Source organism: Homo sapiens, chromosome 2, assembly GCF_000001405.40.
Source record: "Homo sapiens chromosome 2, GRCh38.p14 Primary Assembly".
Classification (NCBI taxonomy): Eukaryota; Metazoa; Chordata; class Mammalia; order Primates; family Hominidae; genus Homo; species Homo sapiens.
The window spans coordinates 130844565-130871579 of record NC_000002.12 but is presented as its reverse complement, the minus strand read 5'-3'; the positions used below and the strand labels follow the sequence as shown (position 1 = coordinate 130871579).

At 49.9% G+C, this 27015-nt stretch overlaps 1 protein-coding gene across 4 annotated transcripts in view, besides 3 other annotated features; it reads right to left on the bottom strand.

Moving 5' to 3' along the window:
- The window catches only part of ARHGEF4 (Rho guanine nucleotide exchange factor 4), a 210340-nt gene that overhangs the window by 175674 nt on the left and 7651 nt on the right, over positions 1 to 27015 (bottom strand). The gene's annotated exons all lie outside the window — the stretch shown is intronic.
- Positions 20718 to 21252: an enhancer, noted in NCBI's record as "H3K27ac-H3K4me1 hESC enhancer chr2:131607901-131608435 (GRCh37/hg19 assembly coordinates)". NCBI's record gives its function as "activates a minimal SCP1, AML or CMV promoter by ChIP-STARR-seq in naive H9 embryonic stem cells {active_cell/tissue: H9 hESC(naive)}" and the evidence as "EXISTENCE:reporter gene assay evidence [ECO:0000049][PMID:30033119]".
- Positions 23267 to 23944: an enhancer, noted in NCBI's record as "H3K4me1 hESC enhancer chr2:131605209-131605886 (GRCh37/hg19 assembly coordinates)". NCBI's record gives its function as "activates a minimal SCP1, AML or CMV promoter by ChIP-STARR-seq in primed H9 embryonic stem cells {active_cell/tissue: H9 hESC(primed)}" and the evidence as "EXISTENCE:reporter gene assay evidence [ECO:0000049][PMID:30033119]".
- Positions 24804 to 25338: an enhancer, noted in NCBI's record as "H3K4me1 hESC enhancer chr2:131603815-131604349 (GRCh37/hg19 assembly coordinates)". NCBI's record gives its function as "activates a minimal SCP1, AML or CMV promoter by ChIP-STARR-seq in primed H9 embryonic stem cells {active_cell/tissue: H9 hESC(primed)}" and the evidence as "EXISTENCE:reporter gene assay evidence [ECO:0000049][PMID:30033119]".

The window sequence follows — 27015 nt, the reverse complement described above, 5'->3', positions numbered from 1 at the left end:
TGTATATATGTGTATATATATATGTATATATATATATTTTTTTGAGACGGAGTTTTGCTCTTGCCGCCCAGGCTGGAGTACAATGACTCGATCTTGGCTTACCGCAACCTCTGCCTCCCGGGTTCAAGCAATTCTCCTGCCTCAGTCTCCCGAGTAGCTGGGATCACAGGTGCCCACCACCAAGCCTGGCTAATTTTTGTATTTTTAGTAGAGACAAGGTTTCACCATGTTGGCCAGGCTAGTCTCGAACTTCTGACCTCAGGTGATCCGCCCACCTCGGCCTCCCAAAGTGCTGGGATTACAGGTGTGAGCCACTGCGCCCAGCCTCTTTGAAAGCCTTTGTATATTAATGAGCATTTTAAAGCTCTAGGTGTAGGAAGCTGAGGTTTAGAAAAATCCTTTATCCAGGCCATTGTGGGGTTGAGAGAGCTGACCTGTGCCCCAGCTCAGCAACCCACAGGCGGGGCCCCTTTATGCCCCCCAGAGGCTTTCATGGGTAAAGTGAAGTGACTGTTGGAGCTCGTCTCCCACTGACACCCATGACTGCAGATATGCTTCTAGGGAGCCCCTGAGCACACTCTGATGTTCACCACGGCTTACCTAGCACCAGCCACTTCCTCCGCAAACCTCAGTTCCTGGGCTGACAGCACTTAGATCTAGGAGAGCTGAGGAGGCAGGAGACCTGGAACACCTGCCCCACCCTACCCTGCACCTAGCCAAGAGTCAGCCAGCTTCGAGCTCCCCTGGGAAGCCTTCCCTGCTTTCCCTTCTCTGCCACCACCGCCAACCCCCATGTCTCGCTGGGTGACCGTCTGCTGCTTCCAGGTTACTCTGGCTCATCTTGACCATAGCCTTGTAAGAAATTAGATACCTGGCACATAAGGAGCACCCCCAAAGTGAGTTCCCTTCCCCTCCCCAGGGATGGAAGACCTTGGTTTCCACCCTGGCTTCATCCCTGACTGTTGGTAACTGGGGCAGTTGTTTCATTCTTTGACCCTCACTCACTTCAAGGTGCATGGTTCTGAGAAGGTCATATGAGATTGGGTGCAGGAAAATGAGGGCCGCACAAACACAAAGCCTCAAAGGGAAGGAACAGGGCTGAGGGCCCCTTCCTGCCCCCTCTCCTGGGCAGTGTCCTGGCAGCTAGGGACCCTGGAGGGCTCCCCTCAGCTGAGCCATCCCCAGCCCTGCCCCTGTACACTTCATGCCCATTCCTGCTTTTCCATCTCAGCATGCCCGTTGCTCCATCTGAAACACATCCCACTCGTGACATCCAGTCCTACCAAAGGGCCTACCCTGCTCCCGGGGGCTAGGTCCCATCTCGTCTGTTCAGCGTTGTCCTTGCCCCTTCAGCCTACCCTGGGCTGGGGAGGAGGTGCCACAAGAGGGAAAAGCAACAATACCCATGGAAGAAACAGTGGGCAGGCCTCCCACCCTCCAGCAGCGTCTTTCTCTGAGGCCCTGCAGGGGTTGACAGCAGAGGGCGAATATTGTTCTCAGTGGCAGGGAGACGTTCACACTGCCCCAAAACGCTGAGCCTCTTCAGCAGATGTACCCAGAAAGGCAAATAATGGAGCTTTTCAGCTGTTGCCAGAGCCAGCCTGAGAGCTCAGCGGGTCCCGCTGGCCACACCGGGTTCCACGGAGGGGGCCTTGTTCAGCACCCCATGTGTGCACACAGTGAGGGTCCAAGAAACAGCTCTGCTCCCAGTCTGAGCCTCTGGCCCCCAAGCTTAACACCGAAAACACAAAACCATTCTCCACCTTTTCCTTTCAGGGTTTCAGGTGGCCTCAGTAAGAGGCGGCCGTTCCCTAGCTGAGGGACGACTTGGTCTGAATGCGGATATGTCAGCTCCCCGCTCTGGCCGGGCTGCCCGTGACTGCTGCCTGGCATTCCCCTGCCTCACTAGCTTCCTTTCATACCCTCTCTTCTCTCTAACTGCAGAGGTCATTGTTCCCCAGCAGCTTCTACACTCCTTCGAATTCTAGACACAGTCCCTGAGTCATCTCGTGCCATCACAGATTCAAGCACTGCCTATGTGCTGGGCACAATCAAATAGCTACTGCCAGCTGCCTTCCCAGACTCAGGGGCCTCACTGCTCACCAAGATTCCCTGCTTATCTCAGGGGTAACTCCCTCTTCAGTCAGTGACACCACCAGTGACCCAGCTGATGAAGGCAGAGACCCGGAGCCCTGCGAGACTTCCTCCCTCACCCATTCCACATCTATCCGGCTCCAAGTTCTGTGGGTTACAGCTCCTGAGTGTTCTTTCCTATCCTCACACCACTGCCTCTGCTGTACCTTCCATCACCGGCACAGATTACTTCTCAGCTTCCCAACCACTCTGCAGGCCTCCACCCTTACTCCTCCTACTCTCTCTGTGGCCAGACAGATCTTTCTAAGCCTCAAATATGACAGCTGTATCACATCACTCCCTCCAATCAAAATCTGTGAAATGCCCTCTTGGTAGGCTGAGTAGGGACCCCCAAGATGTCTGTGTCCTAAGCCCAAGAACCTGTGACTGTTGCCTTTTAGGGCAAAAGGGATGGGGCTGAGGTAATGAAGTGCATGAGATGGGGAGATAACCCAGATTATCCAGGTGGTCCCGATATGATCACCGGAAGGTGATGTGATGCTGGAACCAGAGAATGAAGTGATGCCTTTAAGGACGGGGGTGCCATAAGCCAAGGAATGTAGGCGGCCACTGGAAGCTGGAAAAGGCAGGAAGCCGACCCTCTGAAGCTTCCAGAACGAACCAGCCCACAGGCACCTTGGCTTCAGCCCAGTGCGGCTGGCTTTGGGCTTCGGTCCTTCAGCTGTAATGCACTGGCTGCATTTTAAGTCATAATATTTGTACTAGCTTGTTGCAGCAGCTACAGGAAAGTCATACTTTCCCCATAAAATTGCAACAAAATCTGACCACCCTAGAATGTTTGCAAAGTCCTACTTCCTGCCTGACCTGGCCTCTCCCTGATTTCGCCTTTTCCTTGGATGTTCTGCTGCACACAGTGCCACGACAGTATGAAATCCTTAGCTTGTATTCCCTAAAGACACCACGCTTTCTCCCGCCTCAGACCGCAGCTGGTCTCTGCACCTGGAACACCTGCCCCGCCCCACCCCACCCTCCCACACCCAGCCAAGAGTCAGCCAGGTTTCAGCTTCCCTGGGAAGTGTTCTCTCCTTTCCCTTTTCTGCCATCAGCGCCAACCCCCATGTCCAGCTGGGTGACTGTCTGCTGCTTCCAGGTTACTTAGGCTCATCTTGACCACAGCCTTGTAAGAAATTATTCCATAAGGAAAAGACGTCCAGGAGACTCCAGTCCCAGGTCCAGATGCAGTAAAAGCACATCCACCCTTGGCCGGGTGTGGTGGCTCACTCCTGTAATCCCAGCACTCTGGGAGGCCGGGGCGGGCGGATCACGACGTCGGGAGATCGAGACGATCCTGGCTAACATGGTGAAACCCCATCTCTACTAAAAATACAAAAAATTAGCCAGGCGTGGTGGCGGGCGCCTGTAGTCCCAGCTACTCAGGAGGCTGAGGCAGGAGAATGGCCTGAATCTGGGAGGCGGAGCTTGCAGTGAGCCGAGATGGCACCACTGCACTCCAGCCTGGGTGACTCTGTCTCCAAAAAAAAAAAAAAAAGAAAAAAAAAAAAGAAAAAAACACATCCACCTTGCTCCCACCACACGCAGCGTTGAAGCCAAAACATGGCGCAGGGGGCGGCTGCCTGAGGACTCTGCAGAGGAAACAGCAGCAGTGGGACCGGGGAGAAGGCTGGAACGTGAAGGATGCTGAGGCAAGTTCCTCATCTTATCTCTGGTAGCTCCTGATCTGGAAGTGGGCATGAGGGCACAGATGAGAAAGCCCTGGGGAAGACTTAGTACAGGCTGAAAGAGGAGGAAAAGGGACTCATGACACTCAGAAAGTGGGAGAAATTGCCTGTTGATTTATTTCCTTTTCTCCATTCTCTTATGTCCCAAGGAAAGCCACAACTGAAATTAGAAAATATTTTGAACTGAATGAAAATGAAAATACAATATATTGGCCAGGCATGGTGTCTCACATCTGTAATCCCAGCACTTTGGGAGGCTAAGGCGGGCAGATCACGAGGTCAGGAGTTCGAGACCAGCCTGGCCAACATGGTGAAACCCCCTCTCTACTAAAAATACAAAAATTAGCCAGGCGCAGTGGCACGCACCTGTAATCCCAGTACTCAAGAGGCTGAGGCAGGAGAATCACTTGAACCCGGGAGACGGAGGTTGCAGTGAGCCGAGATCGCACCACTGCACTCCAGCCTGGTGATAGAGTGAGACTCCGTCTCATTAAAAAAAAAAAATAATAATAATAATATATTAAAAGGAGCCATCATTATAGATACCATGGACTTTTGGAAGATAGCAGGGACATTACCAACAGCTCTATACCCCCCAGTTTGAAAATGTAGACAAAAAGGATCAATTCCTTGAAAGACACAAGGGTACAGAACTGGTACCTATTCACAAAGGAGACACATATAATTCAGGAAGGCCTATATCTATTAAAGGAATTGAATCAATAATTAGCATTCAAAAACTGAAAGCACTAGGCCCAGATGGTTTCACAAATGAATTCTACCAAACATTGAAGGAACAAATGATACCGTTTATTTGCAGTCTCTTCCAGAAAACAGAAGTAGAGAGAACACTTCCTAACTCATCCCAGGAGGCCAGCATTACAAAATCAAAAAAGGATATTACAAGAAAGAAAAACTACACACCAACTGCTCTCATAAACACAGATGCAAAAATCCTCAACAGAATTCTAGCAGATGGAATCCACCAATGTATCAAAAGAATTGTACACCATGACCAAGTGGAATTTATCCCAGGTACGCAAGGCTGGTTCAAAAATCAATTAACATAATCCATCATATCAACAGGCTAGAAAAGAGAAATCATAGACCAATCAATAGATGCAGAAAGAGTATCTGGCAGAATTCAACATACCTATGTGATAAAAACCCTCAGCAAGCTAAGGATACAAGGAGAGACGTCCTTACCTTGATAAAGAACATCTACACGAAACCCACGGCTAACATCATGCATCCTAGTGAGAAGTCCCTTTGCCACATAACATAGCATGGAAGTAGCACCAGAGGACTAAGGTCATGTGGGCCAAAATCCTGCCTGCCATACCCACCTTCTTCTTTTTTTTCCAGACGGAGTTTCGCTCTTGTCACCCAGGCTGGAGTGCAGTGGCACAAACTTGGCTCACTGCAACCTCTGCTTCCCGGGTTCAAGCAATTCTCCTGCCTCAGTCTCCCGAGTAGCTGGATTACAGATGCATGCCACCACACCTAGCTATTTTATTAAAACAAATTTTTTTTTGGTCTCTAGAGATGTGGCCTTGCTGTGCTGCCCAGATCTGTCTCATACTCTTGGCCTTAAGCAATCCTTCCACCTCAGACTCCCAAAGTACTGGGATTACAGGTGTGAGCAACTGAGCCCAGCCAGATCAATGTTTTTATTCGACCCTAAAGTTTTCCTCTTCAGGTCCCTGGACCTAACTTAGCAGCACATGAAGAAAAGACCCAGGATTTGAGTCCACAGTGGAATGTGGCAGTCAAAAGAGCTAATTCTGTCATGGAATGCCTCAACTGACATGCATCCCTCAGGAGAATGGGGTGTGAGTCTACTGCTCCTCTGGGCTGGTCAGGCACCAGAGATCCCCCCTCAGTCTAAGGCCCACACTCAAGTAAAGGACTGACGGACTTGATCACAGCCTGAGATCAAGAGCCAGCTGGATGCAGAATGATTTAAGAACTGAGCTTGTTTGACCCCAAGGGAAAAGAAAAGATGACTGGAGGCAAAACAAACAAACAAACAAACAAACAAAACCTATCTTTGACTTTATTCACCATCACATGGAAAGGAAACTAGACTTTTTCCGCGAGGATCAGAAAAGAGAAAGATCAGCAGTCGACAGCACCGCAGGGGGTCCTGAGTGTGTGATTTGGAATGTGATTGTGGCAGATCACTTTATACCTAATGGCCAGGTCCTTCCATCTGGAAAATAACCATGATGACTAGGAGGAGGAGGTGACACAACCTGCCTCACGTGGGAGGAACGACCTGAGAGGATATTTCCGAGGCTCAGCACCGTTCTGGAAACAATAACTGCACCGTCAGTGCTAAGAGTATTATTAACAGGAGAGAGATTTCCATTTAATACAAGGCATGACTTTCCAGCAACTGGACTGTACAACATCTCCTGGGTTACCCCAGAAGGCACTCGAGGAGGCTGTAAAGGGGAGCACTTGGTAAATACCGGACACGATGCTGCCATAGTCCCTCATATGCACAGTTCTCTAAATCCCTGTCATTGGTCTGCCTGTCTTAGAAGGCCCAGGGCAATTTCCTCTCTCTTCTGAGATGCCTGTTTTGACTACTCCAACCCTCCCTAAATGCTTTAAAATTTTGAACTGTGGTTGTAGATTTCATAATCAAATCCTTGCTTACGTAGCAAGTCCCTCCTCTGAGGACAGGGAGTATGACCTCTCACTTGCATCACCTTATCGGCTTTGCATACAACAAAAACGTTCAGGAAGTACTGGCTGGTTGGCTGGCTCTGCTCCCAGAACACACAGCCATGTGCGTCTCCATCAAAGGAAAGGTGCTTCAGACAGCTGCCATCACTCACACGCTGTTTAAAAAGGATTTGTTGAGCTATAATTCACATACCATACCAATTACCCACTTAAAGTAGACAATTGAATGTTTTTAAATAAATTCAGAGTTGTGCAACCATCACCATAATCTACTCTTAGAACATGTTTGTACTAATACTTGCTGTATTTTTTGTTTTTGTTTTTGTTTTGAGACAGAGTCTGGCTCTGTCGCCCAGATTGGAGTGCAGTGGCATGATCTCGGCTCACTACAACTTCCGCCTCCTGGGTTCCAGCAATTGTCCTGCCTCAGTTTCCTGAGTAGCTGAGATTACAGGGGTGCACCACCACATCTGGCTAATTTTTTGTATTTCAGTAGAGAAGGGATTTCCCATGTTGGCCAGGTTGGTCTTGAACTCCTGACCTCTAGTGATTCGCCTGCCTCGGCCTCCCAAAGTGCTGGGATTATAGGCGTGAGCCAGCGTGCCTGGCCAAAACGCCATACTCCTTAACATTCACTCCCCACTCCCCTTCAACACTTCACCCCTCACTCCAGCCCCAGGCAACTACTAATTGACTTTCTATCTCTATAGACCTGCTGATCCTGGGTATTTCCTATAAATGGAATCATGCAATATAGTTCTTTGTGACTGGCTCCTGTGACTAGGCGTAATTATTTTGAGATTCATCTATGTTGCTGAATGTGTCAGTAACTCACTCCTTTTTTTTTTTTTCTTTCTTTCTTTCTTTCTTTGAGACAGAGTCTCTGTCGCCCAGGCTGGAGAGCAGTGGTGCAATCTCGGCTCACTGCAAGCTCCGCCTCCCGGGTTCACACCATTCTTCTGCCTCGGCCTCCCGAGTAGCTGGGACTACAGGCGCCCGCCACCATGCCCAGCTAATTTTTTTTGTATTTTTAGTAGAGACGGGGTTTCACCGTGTTTGCCAGGATGGTCTCGATCTCCTGACCTCGTGATCTGCCTGCCTCGGCCTCCCAAAGTGCTGGGATTACAGGCGTGAGCCACTGTGCCCCGCCTAACTCACTCTTGTTGTTGAGCAGTATTCCACCCTATGGATATGCCAGAATTTGTTCATCCTCTCAATTGCTGATGGAGATTTGAGTTGTTCACGATTTTGAACCGTTATGAGGTTGCTTTGTGCATTTGTGTCCAAGTCTTTGTGTGGATGTGTGCTTTCATTTCTCTTGGATAAATGCATAGGAGAGGAATTGCTGGGTCATGTGGTAACTCTACGTTTAACATTTTGAAGGACTACCAAATTCAAAGCAGATGCACCACTTTACAATCCTGCCAGGAATGTATGAAGGTCTCAACTTCTCCATATACTTGACAACACTTGCTGTATATTTTATTAGTCGTGTTGATGGGGGTGAAGTGGTAGCTCACTGTGCTTTTCATTTGCATTTCCCTAATGATGAAGATGCGGAAGAAATTTGTATGTGCTTATTGGCCATTTGTATACCTTCACTGGAGAAGTGTCTGTTGAAATCCTTTTCTATTTTTAATTTTTATTCATTGTTTTCAGGTTCTCTCATGAGGTTGCATAATCCTTGGCCTACTTTTATTTTTTATTTATTTTTATTTTTTATTTCCATAGGTTTTGGGGGAACAGGTGGTATTTGGTTACATACATAAGTTCTTTAGTGGTGACTTCTGAGATTTGGGTGCACCCATCACCCGAGCAGGGTACACTGTACACATTTGTAGTCTTTTACCCCTTAGCCCTCTCCCACCCTTTCCCGTGTCCGTAAAGTCCCTCATACCATTCTTACGCCTTTCTTTGCCTACTTTTAAATTGAGGTATTTGTGTTTTTACTATTGAGTTGTACAGATTTTTGTTTTTACTTTTTTTTTTTTTTTGAGTTGGAGTCTTGCTAGGTTGCCCAGGCTGGTCTCAAACTCATAGGCTCAAGTAACCCTCCTGCCTTGGCCTCTCTAAGTACTGGGATTACAAGCATGAGCCACCACACTCGGCCTGTAAGGACTGTTTATGTATATTCTGGATACAAATTCTTTATCAGATACACAATTTGATTTGAAATTTTTTTTTTTTTGAGATGGACTCTTGCCCTGTTTCCCAGGCTGCAGTACAGTGGCACGATCATGGCTCACTGCAACCTCCGCTTCCTGAGTTCAAGCAATTCTGCCTCAGCCTCCCAAGTAGCTGGGATTACAGGTGCATGCCATCATGCCCAGCTAATTTTTGTATTTTTAGTAGAGAGGGGGTTTCACCGTGTTGGTCAGGCTGGTCTTGATCTCGTGACCTCATGATCTGCCCGCTTTGGCCTCCCAAAGTGCTGGGATTACAGGCGTGAGCCACTGTGCCTGGCCCGGATTTACATAATTTTTCTTTTGTCATTTCTGCTTTTCTTGTATCTAAGAAACCATTGCCTAACCCAAGATGCAAAGATTTACTCTTATGTTTTCTTCTGTAACTTTGTTCTTTTTATATTTATTTGTTTATTTATTTGGAGACAGAGTCTTGCTCTATCCCCCAGGCTATAGTGCAGTGGCGTGATCTCAGCTCACTGCATCCTCCACCTCCTGGGTTCAAGTGATTCTCCTGCCTCAGCCTCCCAAGTAGCTGGGGTTACAGGTACCTGCCACCATGCCCAGCTAATTTTTGTATTTTTCATAGAGACGGGGTTTCACCATGTTGGCCAGGCTGGTCTCAAACTCCTGACCTCAGGTGATCCACCCGCCTCAGCCTCCCGAGTACCTGGGATTACAGGCACATACCACCACGTCCAGCTAATTTTTTGTATTTTTAGTAGAGATGGGGTTTCACCACGTTGGCCAGGATGGTCTCAATCTCCCGACCTTGTGATCCGCCTGCCTCGGCCTCCCGAAGTGCTGGGATTACAGGCATGAGCCACTGCCCCTGGCCCTTGGACTATATTTCATATGCAATTGAGAAAAATGTGTGTCCTACTTCTGTTTGGTGGAGCATCCTATAGATGTCTGTTAGGTCTAATGATTTGTAGTGCTGTTCAAGTCTTCTGATTTTCTGCCTAGTTGCTCTATCAACGAATGAAAGGGTGATCTCCAACTATTGTTGTTACATTGTTTGCTTCTCCCATCAATTCTGCCTGTTTCAGCTTCATGTATTTTGGGTCCTGTTAGTAGGTGCGCATATGTTTATAACTGTTTTATTGTCTGGATAGATCTAAACTTTTATCATTATAAAATGTCCCTCTTTATCTGTGGTAAAACTTCTGTTTTAAAATCTATGTAGGCTGATATTTATATAGCTACCCCAGCTCATGCAGTTATGATGGTATGTTTTTCCACCCTTAACTTTCAACGTATTTGCATCTTTGAATCTAAGGTATCTCCTGGCCAGGCGTGGTGGGTCACACCTGTAATCCCAGAACTTTGGGAGGCCGAGGTGGGTGGATCACCTGAGGTCGGGGTTCAAGACCAGCCTGACCAACACGGAGAAACCCCATCTCTACTAAAAAAGAAAAATACAAAATTAGCCGGGCGTGGTGGTGAATGCCTGTAATCTCAGCTACTCGGGAGGCTGAGGCAGGAGAATCACTTGAACCCGGGAGGCGGAGGTTGCAGTGAGCAAGATTGCACCATCGCACTCCAGCCTGGGCAACAAGAGCAAAACTCCATCTCAAATAAATAAATAAATAAAATAAATTTAAAAAATAAAGTACCTCCTATAAAAAGATATAGCTGGATCTTGTTTTTCTTTTTAAGAAAAAATTCATTCTGACAGTCTCTGCCTTAGTTTGGGTTGTTTAATTGGTATGGTTACATTTATATCTGCCATTTTGATTTTTGTTATTTTTTATGTGTTTTGTCTTTTTGTACCTCGGTTCTTCCTTTTGCATTTAGTGAATATGTTCTAGTGTGACAGTTTAATCTTTTTAATGCTTTTTTTTTTTTTTTTTTTTACTATGTAAGTTCTTTTCTTAGTGCTTGCTCTAGGGCTTACAATATTCATCTTAGCTTGTAAAATCTACTTCAGATTTATACTACTTAATTCTAGTCAGATATAGAAACTTTACTCTTACATAGCGCTACTCTCTTCTTTGTGTGTATGTGTGCATTACTAATGTTGCACATATTGTGTTTCCATATGTTACAAACAGATCAATACACTGCTTCATATAATCTTATGTCTTTTTTAAGGAGTGGAGAGGCAAGTACATATTTATAGAGTTTATTATGTTAACTTTTTTATTTTTTTATTTTTTTGAGATGGAGTCTCGCTCTGTCGCCCAGGCTGGAGTGCAGTGACGCGATCTCGGCTCACCGCAAGCTTCGCCTCCCGGGTTCACACCATTCTTCTGCCTCGGCCTCCCGAGTAGCTGGGACTACAGGCGCCCGCCACCATGCCCAGCTAATTTTTTTTGTATTTTTAGTAGAGACGGGGTTTCACCGTGTTTGCCAGGATGGTCTCGATCTCCTGACCTCGTGATCTGCCTGCCTCGGCCTCCCAAAGTGCTGGGATTACAGGCGTGAGCCACTGTGCCCCGCCTAACTCACTCTTGTTGTTGAGCAGTATTCCACCCTATGGATATGCCAGAATTTGTTCATCCTCTCAATTGCTGATGGAGATTTGAGTTGTTCACGATTTTGAACCGTTATGAGGTTGCTTTGTGCATTTGTGTCCAAGTCTTTGTGTGGATGTGTGCTTTCATTTCTCTTGGATAAATGCATAGGAGAGGAATTGCTGGGTCATGTGGTAACTCTACGTTTAACATTTTGAAGGACTACCAAATTCAAAGCAGATGCACCACTTTACAATCCTGCCAGGAATGTATGAAGGTCTCAACTTCTCCATATACTTGACAACACTTGCTGTATATTTTATTAGTCGTGTTGATGGGGGTGAAGTGGTAGCTCACTGTGCTTTTCATTTGCATTTCCCTAATGATGAAGATGCGGAAGAAATTTGTATGTGCTTATTGGCCATTTGTATACCTTCACTGGAGAAGTGTCTGTTGAAATCCTTTTCTATTTTTAATTTTTATTCATTGTTTTCAGGTTCTCTCATGAGGTTGCATAATCCTTGGCCTACTTTTATTTTTTATTTATTTTTATTTTTTATTTCCATAGGTTTTGGGGGAACAGGTGGTATTTGGTTACATACATAAGTTCTTTAGTGGTGACTTCTGAGATTTGGGTGCACCCATCACCCGAGCAGGGTACACTGTACACATTTGTAGTCTTTTACCCCTTAGCCCTCTCCCACCCTTTCCCGTGTCCGTAAAGTCCCTCATACCATTCTTACGCCTTTCTTTGCCTACTTTTAAATTGAGGTATTTGTGTTTTTACTATTGAGTTGTACAGATTTTTGTTTTTACTTTTTTTTTTTTTTTGAGTTGGAGTCTTGCTAGGTTGCCCAGGCTGGTCTCAAACTCATAGGCTCAAGTAACCCTCCTGCCTTGGCCTCTCTAAGTACTGGGATTACAAGCATGAGCCACCACACTCGGCCTGTAAGGACTGTTTATGTATATTCTGGATACAAATTCTTTATCAGATACACAATTTGATTTGAAATTTTTTTTTTTTTTGAGATGGACTCTTGCCCTGTTTCCCAGGCTGCAGTACAGTGGCACGATCATGGCTCACTGCAACCTCCGCTTCCTGAGTTCAAGCAATTCTGCCTCAGCCTCCCAAGTAGCTGGGATTACAGGTGCATGCCATCATGCCCAGCTAATTTTTGTATTTTTAGTAGAGAGGGGGTTTCACCGTGTTGGTCAGGCTGGTCTTGATCTCGTGACCTCATGATCTGCCCGCTTTGGCCTCCCAAAGTGCTGGGATTACAGGCGTGAGCCACTGTGCCTGGCCCGGATTTACATAATTTTTCTTTTGTCATTTCTGCTTTTCTTGTATCTAAGAAACCATTGCCTAACCCAAGATGCAAAGATTTACTCTTATGTTTTCTTCTGTAACTTTGTTCTTTTTATATTTATTTGTTTATTTATTTGGAGACAGAGTCTTGCTCTATCCCCCAGGCTATAGTGCAGTGGCGTGATCTCAGCTCACTGCATCCTCCACCTCCTGGGTTCAAGTGATTCTCCTGCCTCAGCCTCCCAAGTAGCTGGGGTTACAGGTACCTGCCACCATGCCCAGCTAATTTTTGTATTTTTCATAGAGACGGGGTTTCACCATGTTGGCCAGGCTGGTCTCAAACTCCTGACCTCAGGTGATCCACCCGCCTCAGCCTCCCGAGTACCTGGGATTACAGGCACATACCACCACGTCCAGCTAATTTTTTGTATTTTTAGTAGAGATGGGGTTTCACCACGTTGGCCAGGATGGTCTCAATCTCCCGACCTTGTGATCCGCCTGCCTCGGCCTCCCGAAGTGCTGGGATTACAGGCATGAGCCACTGCCCCTGGCCCTTGGACTATATTTCATATGCAATTGAGAAAAATGTGTGTCCTACTTCTGTTTGGTGGAGCATCCTATAGATGTCTGTTAGGTCTAATGATTTGTAGTGCTGTTCAAGTCTTCTGATTTTCTGCCTAGTTGCTCTATCAACGAATGAAAGGGTGATCTCCAACTATTGTTGTTACATTGTTTGCTTCTCCCATCAATTCTGCCTGTTTCAGCTTCATGTATTTTGGGTCCTGTTAGTAGGTGCGCATATGTTTATAACTGTTTTATTGTCTGGATAGATCTAAACTTTTATCATTATAAAATGTCCCTCTTTATCTGTGGTAAAACTTCTGTTTTAAAATCTATGTAGGCTGATATTTATATAGCTACCCCAGCTCATGCAGTTATGATGGTATGTTTTTCCACCCTTAACTTTCAACGTATTTGCATCTTTGAATCTAAGGTATCTCCTGGCCAGGCGTGGTGGGTCACACCTGTAATCCCAGAACTTTGGGAGGCCGAGGTGGGTGGATCACCTGAGGTCGGGGTTCAAGACCAGCCTGACCAACACGGAGAAACCCCATCTCTACTAAAAAAGAAAAATACAAAATTAGCCGGGCGTGGTGGTGAATGCCTGTAATCTCAGCTACTCGGGAGGCTGAGGCAGGAGAATCACTTGAACCCGGGAGGCGGAGGTTGCAGTGAGCAAGATTGCACCATCGCACTCCAGCCTGGGCAACAAGAGCAAAACTCCATCTCAAATAAATAAATAAATAAAATAAATTTAAAAAATAAAGTACCTCCTATAAAAAGATATAGCTGGATCTTGTTTTTCTTTTTAAGAAAAAATTCATTCTGACAGTCTCTGCCTTAGTTTGGGTTGTTTAATTGGTATGGTTACATTTATATCTGCCATTTTGATTTTTGTTATTTTTTATGTGTTTTGTCTTTTTGTACCTCGGTTCTTCCTTTTGCATTTAGTGAATATGTTCTAGTGTGACAGTTTAATCTTTTTAATGCTTTTTTTTTTTTTTTTTTTTTACTATGTAAGTTCTTTTCTTAGTGCTTGCTCTAGGGCTTACAATATTCATCTTAGCTTGTAAAATCTACTTCAGATTTATACTACTTAATTCTAGTCAGATATAGAAACTTTACTCTTACATAGCGCTACTCTCTTCTTTGTGTGTATGTGTGCATTACTAATGTTGCACATATTGTGTTTCCATATGTTACAAACAGATCAATACACTGCTTCATATAATCTTATGTCTTTTTTAAGGAGTGGAGAGGCAAGTACATATTTATAGAGTTTATTATGTTAACTTTTTTATTTTTTTATTTTTTTGAGATGGAGTCTCGCTCTGTCGCCCAGGCTGGAGTGCAGTGACGCGATCTCGGCTCACCGCAAGCTTCGCCTCCCGGGTTCATGCCATTCTTCTGCCTCAGCCTCCCAAGTAGCTGGGACTACAGGCACCCGCCACCACGCCCAGCTAATTTTTTGTATTATTATTTTTTTTTAGTAGAGACGGGGTTTCACCATGTTAGCCAGGATGGTCTTGATCTCCTGACCTCGTGATCCACCCGCCTCGGCCTCCCAAAGTGCTGGGATTACAGGCGTGAGCCACTGCACCCAGCCTATGTTAACTTTTAAATTTCCCATTCTCTTCATTTCCTTCTATGGATTTGGGTTGCCACCTGCTAAGCTCCACTGCAGCTTTGTTCCCAATCACCTCTGTGCTTTTACTGTGAAGCATATTACATTTCTTTTTTTTTAATATACTTTAAGTTTTAGGGTACATGTGCACAACGTGCAGGTTAGTTACATATGTATACATGCGCCATGTTGGTGTGCTGCACCCATTAACTCGTCATTTAACATTAGGTATATCTCCTATATGCTATAGGTCCACCAATACAATGATACATGGATTATTTTCCGCAATCACTTTCTAAACAGTTAAGAAGAAAAAATATGCAATTGCTCTATCTCTTATAATTACCTAAATAATCACTTTTACTGGCAATCTCGATTTATTCATGTGGATTTGAATTATTCTCTGGTGTCACTTGCTCTCAGCCTGAGGAATTTCCTTTAGTATTTCTTGCAAGGCAAATCTGCTAGCAACAAATTATTTCCATTTTTTTATATCTGGGAATTATTTTATTCTACCTTCTCCTCTCCTTTTATCCCCATATATGTTGGTGCACTTAATAGTGTCCAACATTTCCGAGTCTTTGTTCATTTTTCTTCATTCTTTTTCACATCTGTTCTTCAAATTACATAATCTCTATTCATTAAGTTCATGGATTCTTCTACCAGCTCAAATCTACTGTTCAGCCCCTCTGGTGAATTTTTCATTTGGTTAATTTCTATTTGGTCGTTATATTTTCCATATCTTTAACAATATTATGTATTTGAAGAGACACTGCTATCACACCTTCCTTGAATTCTTTATTCATGGCTTCCTTTAGTTATTTGAACTGAGTTATAATAGCTGCTTTGAAGTCTTAGTCTCCTGAGGCCACCAATGACACCCCTTCAAAAAGATATTTCTATGGCTCGCTTTCTGCCCTGTATATGGGTCACACTTTCCTATTTCTTTGCCTGTCTTTTATTTTTTGTTTTGTTGTTGAAAACTGGACATTTCAGATAACATTATAGCAATTCTGATACTAATACTTGTCCTGTGGGTTGTTGATATTGTTATGGTTGTTGTTTGATTGGTCAATTGTTTATTTGTTTAAACTTCTGGTTGCCCTGCCTTTTGTTTTTTCTTGAAGTAAGCAATAACGACTTAGCCGGCTTAGATTATTCAAACTGCACATTTCATAGAAAACACTGGCTATTGATTGGCTCCTGAGAGATCATCTCTGAGGTCTTAGGATATCCTGCCTTCTTTGGTCTGCCTGAGGCCCTAGGGGACTGGAGTCTGAATAGTTAAGTTCAGTCATGCAAGTATGCATGCCTGTATGACTGACCCCAATAAAAACCTGGGCACCAAGGCTCAGGGGAGCTTCCTGGTTGTAACACTTCACGTGGGTTGTCACACATTGTTGCTGAAGATTAAGCACTGCATGCCACTTCCTAGGAGGGGACACCTGGAAGCTTGCAGCTGGTCTCTCCTGGACTCCACCTTCTGTACCTCTTCCCTCTGCTGACTTAAATCTGTATCTTTTCACTGTAATAAACCATAACCATGAGTATAACAGCTTTTCAGAGTTACACTCATGGTCCTGTGAGTCCCAGTGGATTGTCAAGCCTCACAGTGGTCTTGGTGACCCCTGACTCATGAACCTACCAGCTTCCTCTTAGTTGCTCCCCACTAAGAGCTGCACTGTTTTTGGCAGTACCCTTAAGGCATGGGTTCTCCAACTTTTTGTTTCAAGTAAAAAGACTCCTCCGGCCGGGCGCGGTAGCTCACGTCTGTAATCCCAGCACTTTGGGAGGCCGAGGCAGGCGGATCACAAGGTCAGGAGATTGAGGCCATCCTATGAATGGTGAAACCCCGTCTCTACTAAAAATACAAAAAAAAAAATTTGCCGGGCGTGGTCGCGGGCGCCTGTTGTCCCAGCTACTCGGGAGGCTTAGGTGGGAGAATGGCGTGAACCCAGGAGGCAGAACTTGCAGTGAGCCGAGATTGCGCCACTGCACTCCAGCCTCGGCGACAGAGTGAGACTCTGTCTCGAAAATAAATAAATAAATAAATAAATAAATAAATAAATAAATAAAAGTCAGACTCCTCCAGCAAAGCTGCACGCCCTGCCTTTCCCCCTGGGCAGAAGCCCTGCATCAGAACACAGAGCTGGGGGTGGGGGCCTGCTTTTCCTGATGACATCCCCATTCTACCAGCTGGCACTGGTTGCCTGGCAGTCCCTGGTCTTCCTGTCTCGCCCCTCCTGGTGTGGAACCTCCATCCTGTGAGTGAGATGAGATGGGGGCACTGGGGCCAGCCTGCTGTGCTTGGAGCAGGCCTCCACCCTATAGCGTGGGTTGGGTGTGGAAGTGATCCCCAGACTTCTCAGCAGCACTTGCCAGAAACAGAGCTTCTGCAACATGGGGCTGAGGATGAGAATGCCAGCAGCCTGACCCTCCTGGGGTGCAGCCAAAGCACCAGCCTATCAGAGGACAGGAGTGACAGCCCCGTCTTCTTGGCCATACCTGCTGGGGTAGAGCTTCCCCAGGGTGTGCCCACCCCGCTTCCTAGGAAGAGGTGGGGCGTGATGACCTCAGATTTATAGAGCCAGACTCCAAAGAATAAATGTGTGTTATTTGTCCTCCCTGCCAAAGCATGAGCTCCAGGACAGGGGTCCCAGACTGTGCCACTGCTGATCCCCAAGCACCAAGGACAGGGTTTGGCCTATAATTTTAACACTTGAATGTTCCTTACAGCTATGATGTAATTAATCATTCTGTGGATTTTATGAACCATTTTGTGCAGGTATGCTATAATTTTTTTATTTACCGTTTCTCTTTTATTGGTCATGTTTCTTGGCTTCCCAAGTTATTTCCACACACATCAGATTTTATCCTTACAGTGACCCTATGAGGTGAGCAGGGCAGGACATTCCCATTTGACAGACAAGAGGACTAAGACCTCTCTCCTACAGGCTAAGAAACCTGCCCAGAATCTCACAGCAAGGTATGGGCAAGGCTGAGACTAGCCTGTAGGTATGACTGTCCATCCTTCAAGGCTAACTAAGCTCACTACAATATCTCTGTGGCCTGCATCCTCCGGCTCACCTCCTGAGCCACACAGTAGGGCCCACCATTCCTGGGATGACGGCAGGGCTTGTGTGGTTTTCCCACAACACTGGACACAAGCAAGGCTGCTGCTCACATGCTGTGTCCTGGTGCTGTGCTGACTCCCACTGGAGAGGGGCAGACCGCACCATAGGCCCCTAGGAGAGCCAAAGACAACGGGAGACGTTGCTCTTCCTGGACACCGATGTGCACAGGCACCAGGACCACGGACAGCCCACACCTGGCTCAGCAGCTCATCCCCAGGGGACACACAGGAGGCCCAGGCCTGCTGAGCGAAGACATGCCCCTCCCTCACAACACCTGTGAAACAGGCAGGTGAAGACTGGCCGTGTGCTTTGCAGAGTAGCACATGATTGAGGTTCAGAAAGGAAGGGAGAGGTGGCTGCACGAGATGCCTTGTCTAGACCTCACCTGGACTCAGGAAGTCTGAAAAACAACTCTGTGAAGCCGGCAGGATGTTCCAGGAAAGAAGGCAGAGACCAGCCAAGCCGTGTGCCCAGAGAGGCTCTCCTACCTCAGGCTCAGGGCTCCCTCCTCCACCAGCTACTCTGAATTTTCTACCATCAGGATCCATCACTGGCCACGTGCACAGTAGCTAACCCGCACTGTGAATCATCATGCAGATCCTCTGGCAGACCCCAAGTTGGGCCTTGGGATAGGTGTGGGGATTCCGGGGTCCCTCATGGTGCCATATGAAGGCCAAGCAGGACATTTGAGAAACAGCCCCCTGGGACCCAAAGCACAAAACATGCATGGCCTTGGTGCTGGACATGCCCTGCTGACCCTCGATGGGAGCATCAGGCTGCTGGAAGGAGGTTCTTCCCAGCTGCCCAGGTGGCAGGCCCCACCCAGGGCGATCAGTCTGCTCTGAGCCTCCAGATGGGGCAGCCGGCTGCTGCTGAGCTCCCAGCTGCCAAGGCTGCCCTTGTGTCGCTCAGCCCTTTTCTGTCTGCTCCTGGGCTCTGGGCTCACAGAGCACAACCCTGAGGAGTGGTGCCTCCTGTGCGTGCTGGCTTGAGACTCAGCACAAGCTGCATCTCACTGTCTCCCCACTGCAGCTCTCCACCGCCCGCAGGAGGCGACGGGGCTCAGGCCCACCTCAGTCCTGCTCGGCTTTCAGATCTCTCTCCCATCCTGCGGTCTCCTCCTGAGACTCTTGGAGTTCTGCACATCGTGCTCGCTCGCCTCCGTGCAGGGCGTCCCACCTTATGGGCCAGGCTCCCCCAACCCACCCCACAGTCAGTCTTGCCCGGGGACTTACCCGGCTCACAGTCCCCCCCACCCCCACCAGCTCACAGTCTGGCCCGATGGCTCCCCACTCCCCACAGTCAGTCTCATCAAGGCATCGCTTCATCTGTGCAGCCTCCTTGGAGGTCCTGGAGGCAGAACGGCACCCCGATGTTGTGCCTTGTGCCTGTGTCCTGCCTGACACCACACTGTGGTCTGCTATCACCTGTCCATCCTCTCGGCTCCCCAAGACTCTCCTTTCCCCTTTGACAGGGTTGAGAGTTTCCTTTCCTGGGCTCCCCACACCAGCCATGCCCTGGTCATATCTCCCACTGCACAGGTGACGCTGTCGCTGTGGGCCAGCCCACCTGTCTCCACCACTAGACCCATGAGCTCGTCAGAAGGGAGGGCCTGCCTGAGCCTCTGCATCCCCAGCCCCAGCGCAGGGTGTGCCGTGGAGCAGGCGCTCAGCCAACTCTTGAAAGAATAAAAGCTGTGAAGTTGGAATGGCTCATCTCCCCCACTGTAAAAATAACACCTGTAATAATAAAATAGCTACGGATAAAGTGCTGCCACGTGCCCTGTGCCTTTTAGACATTATTTAATCCTAACATGAGGCAATTCTGATTGTCTGTATTCTCCAGGTAAGGAAACTGAAGTTCAGGACAGTTAAGCACCAACCTGGCAGGTGGCAGCATTTGAATTTGGACCAGGTCTCCAGCTTCTACAAACATTCACTCACGATGTCTCATTTGGGCCTTACACAAGCCCGGAGAGACTGGCAGAGCAGGTCAACAACCCTGCATTTCCTGCTGGCTGTGTCCATGGAGGCCCCGGGAGGGTTGGGACCTTGTTCCAGCTCACGGATGAGCTGAGGACAGCAGCAGTCAGAAGGATCACAGTGGCCAAGAGCCATGTCATTACCCTTCTTCTTCATGTGACCCACATAGTGTCGAGCTCTGCCCTGCTGCTTTGCAGACAGACTGGAGCCCCCCCAGCCCGTCCACTCCACCCTCTCGGATAGAGACCATGTGCAGCCGCCCACTCAGGCCCGGAGCACCTGCACGGTGGGCGAAGGGCAGGCCTCGGCAGTGCAGCAAACTCCCCAACCCGCATGAACCGCACCCGGTTCTGGCTGAGAGCACATTCTCACCCCACTCCCAGCTGCCTGTCTCATGGGAAGATGTGAGCTTCCTTCCTCTGAGAAGACACAACAGTGTGAGCACCAGCACTGCATGGTTGATGGATGCGAACCAGGGCTGGCTGCGGAGCTGGCGCCAGCACCCTCCTGACAGTTGGCGCCACCAACAGATGCATCCAGATTAGTGTCCTCTCTGCCCTGCATTCCCAGGTCACAGCTGCCTGGCTGCCAGGGCAGGAAAGGCACATGCTGGCCTCTGGCAGGTCCTATCCCAACCACCCTTCTCAAAGTGCAGGCACTTCTCCGCTCCACAGCGGTCAGGACGCCGGTGTTCACAGCACAGAAAGCTGGCGGACTCATGTCCTGCCTGCGCTCCCACAGCTCTGCAAGGGGACCCAGCAGGCTGGTTTTTTTGGTTGTGCAGCAGAATGAACCCATTCCAAGGAGCTGAGTGAACGGCCCAAAGTCGGAACTCGGGGGCTGCCCAGGCTATACCGAGGGCCTGAAGCCCCTCAGGCCTGCATGGGACAGAAGCCTCTCCCTCTGACAATGCCCCACAGAAGCGCATGCATGACAGAGGCCCAGCAGCCTCAGCTGCCATCTGAGGGGGTCTTGTTGGAAAGACTGTACAGTGGCAGGGGATTTGACGCTGACTCCTGCTTCCCCTTCCCGTGTGGCTCTGCTCACCTCTACATGCACCTCAGTCCCCTGTCTACCGAGGGAGGCCCCATCACGAGGGCATCTGAAGGTAGGGACATGGGGTAGGGATACCACCCTGTGGCCCACTGCACCCCTGCTTGGGGCACTGTAGCCCCCACAATCTGCCCTACTTCCCATGGGCTATGTGCCCACCTTGTGGACGCAGACAGCCCACCTGGGGGAACCTGTGTCCTTGCAGGGGGGAGGTGTTGGGCAATTCGGAATTGGAAGTCTGAGCAGCAGCCGTTTGGATGCTGGCTGTGGATGATGGACAGCTGGAGAGGCTCCCAGGACTGGGCTCATGGAGGGAGCAGAGCAGAGCCAGCTCCCAGAAAGCCTCTGGCCACAGGCAGCAGCAGCTGCCTAGGCAGACTTGGGACACGGGTATCATCAGAAACAACAGCTCTCCATGGTGTCCTGAGAGGAGACCTCTCCATATGAGGGGTACCAGGGACACAGCAGGCAGTGGCCAGTGGCTCCTCCTTCCTCAGGTACAGACAGGCCTGATCCCACACACTTCCCAAGAGGCCCCTAGAGAGGCTGCCCCCTCCCTGGGGCACTGGCCCAACTGCTCCTGTGAGTCCCTCTGAGGATGCCCTAGAAACGTGGGCTGCTTTGAGAACCCCCATGGGGCCAGGAGGTTGACCCAGCAGTAGGGGAGGCTCCCGGTGGGGTGAGGGCTTGGGACCTCCCTGGGATGCCACACACTGGCCCCAGACCACATGTGCAGTTACAGCGTCCTGTTTCCTGCTTACAAAGATGCCACTAAGTCAAGGAGAGCTTTTGAGGAAGAAGGAAAAATCACTATGTTAAATGTACACATCAATTACAAATGCATTTTCATTTCACAAGTATTATACCGTTTTTTAAAAAGTGTATCCTAGGCTGGGTAAGGTGGCTCAAGCCTGTAATCCCAGCACTTTGGGAGGCTGAGGTGGGTGGATCACTTGAGGTCACAAGTTTGAGACCAGACTGGACGTGGTGAAACACTGTCTCTACTAAAAATACAAAAATTAGCTGGACGTGGTGGTGTGCACCTGTAATTCCAGCTACTCAGGAGATTGAGGCAGGAGAATACTTGAACCTGGGAGGAGGAGGTTGCAGTGAGCTGAGATCGCGCCACTGCACTCCAGCCTGGGTGACAGAGCAAGACTCCGTCTCAGAAAAAAAAAAAAAAAAGTATCCTAGATCATGGAAAGGAGGTGTGTGATAGTGGTCCCTCTGCTTAGAGATTGAGGGTCTCCTCCTTCAAGTTCCAGGGCAGACAGGCAGCCTGGGACAGCCTGTGGGGTGCCCCCAGGAGCAAAATGGCTGCCATCCCACCTCACAGGCCAGGGCACTGGGGCCCCAGGCAAGGTTGTCTCTAAGGGCAGCAAAGGGGGTGACCCTCCCTATAGGGCACAGAAAATTCCCCTGCATCCTAAAGCCTCCCCAGCCCTGCCTGCATCTCTCTGCCCCCTGGCATGACAATATGCACCCAACAAAACGGTGTTCTTGCCCCAACGCTCCCCAGCTTTTTCATCACTCTCCCGTTACTCTTTGGGGAGCTCCGGGAGGTGGGCACACTGAGAAACAAACTAAAGTTGGGACACTGAGAGGGGTCACGGAGCCAGAACCAAGGCCCCAGATCCCAAGGGAGGGTGGGAAGAGGTGCTCTTGGCTGGGGATGGGGACCCAAGGAGGAGGGGGGCAGCAGGGGAGTCCCCACAGCTGTCCTCTCCTCCTCTGCCACTGGGGGGTGCACAGGTGGGCAGTGCCCCCAACTAGCATGGCTGGGATGGAGGATCCGAGGTGCCCAGGGCCCGCTTAGCCTCTCCAAGGCGCAGCTCCCATTCTGCCCACCACCCTCCAGCTCCAGAATGGGGGCTGGTGCCTGGCACCTCCTCTTCAGGGCCCATCACCCCTGAGCCTCACTGCGCCACCCAGGCCTGTCTCCTGTGCCCTGTATCCCTGTCCCACTCACACTGACAACCAAGCATGTCCCCTCGGGGCCTGGTCTCCCTGCAGACCGGGAGGCAAGTGTCATGTGACTGGAACCCTCACTAAAACATGCACAGGGCCCCAGCTCCACTCACAGCTCCAAGCCCGGCACTGGAGGGAGGAAGAGACAGGATCACTCAAGCGCTGTCCTCAGGAGCTGGGGATTCAGAGCAGGAGCCTCCCTGCCGTCCACTGGTCCCTGGGCCCTGGGAATGCCACGCAGGAGGTGCCTGCACACCCATGTGGGGAGGGCTTCCAGTGCCAGTGCTCAGAGCCTTCGTTGAATTCTCACAAGGCTGCCAACCTTTACTACCCAGAGGGCTCGGAAGCCCCTGTCCAGGGCCTGCATGTATGTCTTGCTCATGGCCTGACCTCCCTGGCACCCAGCACGGGCCTGGACTCTAACAAGACTAGTTAAATGCTGTGCGTGGGGATGAAAACACTGGCCTTGGGGTCGAGTCGGTATGCTGGGGCAGCGCACAAGGTGGTTCAGACGCGATCCTGGCCTGAGGCCCTGCTGCCCCACAGGGTGGGCGGGAGCAGCCCAGACCGCCTCTCCCCACAGGCCTGCTGCAGCCCCTCTGAGGTCGGGAAGCCTCACCCTTCAGGCCAAAGTCACCCATCCTGTGCAGATGGCCTGCTCCCACCCTGGAGACTAGCCACAGCCCACCCTCCCTGCCCACCTGGGCAGAGGCCCCATGTCCTCAGATGACTTTCCTTCCTCTCCTCTGGAAGAGCCCCTGCAACCACGTGGCTCCCTCACACCCGTGGCCTCCACTCAGCAGGTCAGCTTCGCCCACAGACAGACCCCAGCCCAGCGGCCCAGCTCCAATCCCACACACTCCTGAGGCTCAGACCTAGCCTCTCAGAGGGGCTGTGGGGAGGGTCAGGGCACGCAGGCCCTCATGCCAGGGGCAGTGGAGCCAGCACACGGATGGGCCTTCAAGGCCGCCTTCCATGCCTGACTCACCCCCAGGTGGAGGCCTCACCTTCTCTAAGCCAGCACTGTTCCTGTGAAGCCTCGCCTGATGTTTTCTAAACTCTAGAACTCACAGAGAGAAAGGGGACCTGGGTGGACCCAGGGAAGGACAGGACACCAAATGTGCCCCTGCTTCAGGGGGTCAGGCCCTCGGAGCCAAGCGTTGGGGTGGAAAAGCAGCTGGGGCCACAGCATTGAGCACTCAAGGTTTGCAGGTAAAAAGGAACATTCCACAAACGTCAGCACATGTGACTGTCACAGCCACCTTACAGAGAGGAACCATTATCCTCGTTTTACAGATATGAAGACTGAGGGATGAATGATTAAGTCACACCAAATGTGCACAGTTATGATCTTTTGGTGCCTCCAAGTCCAACGTGGTGACTGAAACCTCCTGTCTTCCAGATGCCTCTGGGTGCCCATGAGGGCTCAATAATTTCCCCCGGCCTCCTCTGCATTGAGGCACTCATACTCCAGGTGAAAAGCGATTCAAGAGGAAGCAGGAGACGCCCCTGGTCACTAATATCACCCAGTTTGTCAGATTCAGCTCAGGCACTGAGCAGTGTCCGGAAAGGCCAGATTCCTGGGAGGGGAAGGGTAGCCTGCTTCTGGAGGGTGCAGCCGGCTTTGGGGCCAGGTGTCCGGCAGGGGCAAGGCTGGGAAAGGCCCTCAGGGTCGCCTTGACTGGACCCAGTGCGTCAGGAATCCACACAGGGCTCTTAGCCCGCGCACATCAGAATTACACCCAGGCTTTCCCTAAAGACCTGCTCAGGCCTCCTCTGGAGAATCAAATCTGGGGCTTGGAGGGCTTGGCACATGTCTGTGGATACAGTGGAAACACACTCTGTGTATCTGCCATCCGGCAGGCCCTGATTCTCCTGCTAAACGTACCCGTGTCACATAACTCGACCCCCGGGGCCCACAACTTCCACCTCACGATGAATCAGAAGAACAAGACTCTCCGGACTCATGTCTGAGCACAGACAAACGTGCATTGCCCTGACCACAGAAGCCCCATCAATGCCCTGCACCAGCTGCCTGAGTGTCCCAGCTGCCTGGCTGTCCAGCTCTGGCCTGGCTTCCTTCCTCCTTCTGCTAAAGAAAGACCCCTGACCCTAGAGCTGCCCCCGCACCTCCTGAGGGCATCCATCCAAGCAAAGTCCAGCTTCCTCAAGCCCCTCTCACTGGGCCCGAATCCTGCCCTAAGTCCCTTCTCTCTCGCCGTCCCATATCGCTCTCCCCATGTGCACCTCCCCACGGCAGGGGTCACAGCCCCCGCAGGCAGGTTCCTGAGGGTCCTGGAGTGAGGGCGCTGGCCTGGGGGTGCTGAGAGGGAGGACTGGCTTATGCTACACAGCCAAGCGGGGCAGGGAGGCTGGCGTAGGGCCAGCAGCCTGGTCCTGCCTGGCAGTCGGTGTGGGTGGCTCCTGGGATCCCAGCACCCGAGAAGAGGTGACTCTTGGGTTGTGGGGGTCTCAGATGACCAGTCACCCCAGGCTGACAGTTCCCAGGCCCTAGGCCCTGGCGGCACCAGCCAGCAAGGACACAGCACTGATGACAGTTTTAGTTTGAGCTGAGCACTCAGCCGAGGAAGGCCTAACCACTGGGCACACAGAGAGTGGATACAGGAAGCAAGGGGCTTGTTTGAGCTCTCAGAGAAGGACCTGGGCAACAGACCTTGAGCCAGGCCTGCAGAGAGATGGCTGCCTTCTGGCCGAGGTGGGCCTGGCTTGATCGAGGTGTAACTGACGCACAATAAACTCACACACTGGAAGCACAACCTGAGGGTTTCGACCGGTGCACAGTCAGCAGCAAATCTCCACTGCCTCTGTCCTTCCTCATCTGCCCTCTGGCTTCCGCCCACGCTCACCTGTCCCCAGGCAGCCACTTGTGTGCTTTCTGTCACTGTAGGTTCGCATTTGGGATCACACCGTAGGTCTGGCTTCTGCCACTGGGCCTGGTTCCCTGGAGGCCCATCCGGCCTGATGTGTATGGCAGCAGTTCCCTCCCTCCTAGTGCTGCTCTGTGGATGTGCCACCCTGTGAGTCGCTTCCAGGTCTTCTCACAAGCTTGAGTCCTCACACAGAGGCAGACTGTACCACTTGACCCAGCTTCTCCCACCAGCCACACCCACTATGCTCTGAGGAGGATGTTCTCATAGTCAGCATGCCTCTGTAAAAACACACTTTCTAGGCTGGGTGCAGTGGCTCAAGCCTGTAATCCCAGCACTTTGGGAGGCCGAGGTGGGCAGATCACAAGGTCAAGAGATCGAGACCAGCCTAGCCAACATGGTGAAACCCCATCTCTACTAAAAATACAAAAATTAGCCGGGTGTGGTGGCGGGTGCCTGTACTGGGCTCCCATGATCCTCCTGCCTCAACCTCCCAAGCAGCTGGGACTACAGGTGTGTGCACCATGCCACGTTAATTTTTTTAAAAACATTTTTGTAGAGACGGGGTCTCCCTATGTTGCCCAGGCTGGTCTGGAACTCCTGGGCTCAAATGGCCTCCCAAAGTGCTGGGATTACAGGTGTGAGCCACCGTGCCCGGCCAAAAACTCACTTTCTACCTAGAGCAGGAACTTCGGCCAGCAACATCAGGCAGCATCACACTTGGCCAAGTTTCAGAGATGGGTTTCCATTCAACCCCACTGGTTATAAGTAAAATATAGCGGGCCGGGTGGCTCACGCCTGTAATCCCAGCACTTTGGGAGGCTGAGGAGGGCGGATCATGAGGTCAGGAGTTCGAGACCAGCCTGGCCAACACGGTGAAACTCAGTCTCTACTAAAAATACAAAAATTAGCTGGGTGTGGTGGTGGACGCCTGTAATCCCAGCTACTTTAGAGACTGAGGTAGGAGAATCACTTGAACCCGGAGGTGGAGGTTGCAATGAGATGAGATCGCGCCATTACACTCCAGCCTGGGTGACAAGAGTATGAGATTCTGTCTCAAATATATATATATACATATATATATATTTGTTTGGGGAAGACAAAAATAGAGGTTGGCGGGGGATAGCTAATAGTTGTTGGGTGCTCTCTCCACATGCTTTCCCTTGGTTTTCTTATTTAAATTTTCACATGCCCCTGAGAGTGAAGGGGTTACATGAAGGTGCCCCAGGGCACAGAGCTCTATGGGAGAGTGGACCCACCTAGGGGCCATCACCATCACAAAGGGACCCTGGGAAGAGGGGCAGCTTCCAAGGAGTGCTCCAAGGAGACCTCT